Below are 3,683 nucleotides of genomic sequence, written 5' to 3'. Positions count from 1 at the left end.
GTGGTAGAAGTGGAGGGCGTGTCCGGGTACTTGAGTTCATGGGCATCTCTCCCGCCGCCTCTCAGCCTATCTGCACCATGTCTCACACGTTCAGTTGCAGCTCTTACCGTTTTGAAGGCGCACGTGGGCAAGAAGTCCTGGGCAGCACAAGAAAGTCAATCACGTTGAGACAGAGAGAGCAGGAGAGGAAGTGGGCCCCAGTAGAAGTGGGCGAGAGAGCGTTGGGTGGGAACGTGGCACGAGAGAGAGAAATTATGAGATTGACAGAGAGAGAGAGAGAGAGAGAGAAAGAGAAAGAGAGAGAGAAAGAGAAAGAGACAGAGAAAAGAAACTATGTTGTTTAAAATGCCAGCGGAAAGTCCATGGGGGTGAAAGAGTCCGGCAATGGCCAGGGAGTTAGCAGCTTGGCGTAGTGTCTTCCCACTGTTTTGTCTGTCTTGAGAATAGCATTCAACGCGACTGTGTTCCCGCAGCAGACGTTAGGCCGCTGCCCACGCCTTGAGTGCCGGACGAGGTCAACATAGGCTTTCCGTCACAGAATATGTTTGGGCAGGAAGATCGGAACACTTGGGGCTGGGCCATCTACCGCTCCCCCACGGCACACACGAGTCGTCAGGGAAATGCCCGCCTCTGTGTGTGTTGTACGTGCAGCCTTCTGGGCAGAGCCGTGGAGAGTTGGACGTAGGCCAGGTGTGAGGAGGAGAGGTGTGTTTGGGGTGGCCACTGGCTCCCTTCCTGCGTGACGTAGGCTGGCGTGGGCTCTTCCCCCAGCCCCTTGCCGGTGCTGCCACGTGAGAAGGGCCCGGGTGCCGGTCCCGCTATTCCGGAATTGTGGGTTCACCTGAAGTTTGAGGCCAAACCCCCAGCGGTCAGTGGGACGCCAGTCGCCTTTGACCTCTTGGTCAAGCTGGCCTTGCCGTGACCCGTGAGAATGCCCAAGTGCCAATGTGTCCCGGGGGGCAGGGCCGGGGCTGGGATCCTAGTGTGTGCCCAGTCTCCTTCTCGTCCCTGCGGGTTCCACCATCCTCCCATCCTAACGCATCGTTAGGGATGCGGTTAGGTCGGGTCCATCCCCAGGGCGGTCCAAGGGGACCGCTTTCTGGTTTGTCAGGAAGGCAGGCTAGTAAGAAGGGTCCCGCCGAGTCCCATCTGCCAAGGACAGGGTCCCGCAGGTGGGCCAGGGCTGGCCCAAAGCGGCCGAGATGCTGATCCGCCATGTGCGGGGCGCTGTTGGCGTTTTTTCCTCAGCAAAGGGCGGAGGGAGTGGACGTGGGGGAAGGGCAGGTGGGCATTTCTGGAGCAATACTGCCATCAAGAGGAACTGGCTTGGCAATCCCGCGCACCCTTCGCTGTGCTCGCCTGGGGAGGAGTGGCTTGGGACTGTCCTGGGGGACCAGGCAGGACTAGGGCAGGTGCTCGGACGGATCCGAGGTCTCTGGAGGTCCGAGAGAAGCAGGCTCCGCCGCGGGGTCGGGCGGTGGAAGCCCCAGAGAGAGGCGCCAGGACTAGCTGGACAGCCAGGACGCCGGGCCGTTCCCGGACAGGAAGCCATGGCTCGGGAGCCTGGTGGCGGCCATGATCTGGGCGGGACCAGCGGAGGCCTCCGCCAGGGAGCCTGGGCTCGGGGCCTTGGGCAGTTTGCCTGGTGCCCCTTCCCGTGGGAGCAACCGGGGTGACGGCCTAGCTGGGTCCTCGGCCCGGGAGGCTCCGTCGGCCACACTGCACGCCTGCGGTGTGAGGAGGGCCGACTGCCAGTGCTGAGTTCCGTGGCCATTGGGCCGGTGCCCGCCGCTGCTGGCCGCGCGCCGGGGCGTTCCTCCTTGCGTCCTAGGGAGGAAGGTGGGCCGCGGGGCATCCCGCGGGGCCCGTACCCAGACGGTTCTTGACGAGGTGGACGCAAGGCCAGGCCCGGCCCGGCCCGGCCACCCTCAGACGCCGCGCACCCGCCTTGTTGAGACTTGCCACCCTGTCTTGTTGTGTCCATGTCCCCGAGGTTGTCTTGGAGGCGGGCCGTTCCCCGTGGTGCTCATTTCTGCCTGGGGGCCTTCCGGGGACCCCGCTTGTCTTTGGGGGTGCGCAGGCCCTTGCCCTGCGATCAGAGGCGCACCGACCGATGAGTTCGGTGGCAAAGCTTGAGAAATGGAGACTCTCTGGGCATCGGCTAAGGGGGCCCGGGGCCTTCCCAGGCCTGCTGGAGTCCGGGAAGCCGGGGGCACCCAGAAGGAAGGACCCGTCGGACTCTGCCTGGGGACAGCCTGCTCCGCGCCAGAAGGGTCCGCTGCTCAGGCAGCATCCCCGTGCCTCTCCTCCAGTGGGTCCCTCAGGTAGAATCGGGGCAGGCCCCACTGGACGTGCAGGGAGGAGGCTCGGAGGATGCATCCTTTGCAGGACCCGGTCTGGTACAGCAGCAGACGGAGCCATCTCCCGGGGCTTTCTGGCTTCTCCGAGGGTGTTCAGGAGTCTCCCAAGTGCGCAGGGGCTCGTGCCCAAAGGGTGGAGGTCGGCACCGCTTCGCTCAATTCAGGAGTGGAGAAGGAAGCTAGAGGACCCTCTGGAGGTGGCAGGTTTAATGTCCTGCTTTTTTATTTATTTATTTATTTATTTATTTATTTATTTATTTATTTTGTAATCAACTGAAAGAAGGCAGAAGGAGTCGATGGGCCTCTTAGGCCGGAAACCTTACAAGCATAGGACCAAGGCAGAAAAGGTCCAGAGGGTTCATGGTCCTCCGTTCCACCTGAATCCAGCTAGAGAGCGAGCCAGGGGGATAGGTGTGCCCCTCGTCGCCCGTGCGCTGAGGCACTGTCACGCAAAGAGACATTCACCTTCCACGTCAACGCACCTTTAAGGGCGAGAGCGGTCCGCCGTGCCCAAGAGGAACGGGATGACATTCAACTGGGACTTGCCTCACCTTGGCTTGGGGGACCTCGAGAGCGGTCCCGTGGGGGCGGTGTTACTCGTGGTGGTAGAAGTGGAGGGCGTGTCCGGGTACTTGAGTTCATGGGCATCTCTCCCGCCGCCTCTCAGCCTATCTGCACCATGTCTCACACGTTCAGTTGCAGCTCTTACCGTTTTGAAGGCGCACGTGGGCAAGAAGTCCTGGGCAGCACAAGAAAGTCAATCACGTTGAGACAGAGAGAGCAGGAGAGGAAGTGGGCCCCAGTAGAAGTGGGCGAGAGAGCGTTGGGTGGGAACGTGGCACGAGAGAGAGAAATTATGAGATTGAGAGAGAGAGAGAGAGAGAGAGAGAGAGAGAGAAAGAGAAAGAGAGAGAGAAAGAGAAAGAGACAGAGAAAAGAAACTATGTTGTTTAAAATGCCAGCGGAAAGTCCATGGGGGTGAAAGAGTCCGGCAATGGCCAGGGAGTTAGCAGCTTGGCGTAGTGTCTTCCCACTGTTTTGTCTGTCTTGAGAATAGCATTCAACGCGACTGTGTTCCCGCAGCAGACGTTAGGCCGCTGCCCACGCCTTGAGTGCCGGACGAGGTCAACATAGGCTTTCCGTCACAGAATATGTTTGGGCAGGAAGATCGGAACACTTGGGGCTGGGCCATCTACCGCTCCCCCACGGCACACACGAGTCGTCAGGGAAATGCCCGCCTCTGTGTGTGTTGTACGTGCAGCCTTCTGGCAGAGCCGTGGAGAGTTGGACGTAGGCCAGGTGTGAGGAGGAGAGGTGTGTTTG

At 60.5% G+C, this 3,683-nt stretch overlaps 1 annotated feature.

Moving 5' to 3' along the window:
• Positions 307 to 876: an enhancer, noted in NCBI's record as "H3K27ac-H3K4me1 hESC enhancer chrX:114971507-114972076 (GRCh37/hg19 assembly coordinates)". NCBI's record gives its function as "activates a minimal SCP1, AML or CMV promoter by ChIP-STARR-seq in primed H9 embryonic stem cells {active_cell/tissue: H9 hESC(primed)}" and the evidence as "EXISTENCE:reporter gene assay evidence [ECO:0000049][PMID:30033119]".

The sequence above is a fragment of the Homo sapiens genome, chromosome X (assembly GCF_000001405.40).
Source record: "Homo sapiens chromosome X, GRCh38.p14 Primary Assembly".
Lineage (NCBI taxonomy): Eukaryota > Metazoa > Chordata > Mammalia > Primates > Hominidae > Homo > Homo sapiens.
This window is presented reverse-complemented; position numbering and strand designations above follow the sequence as displayed.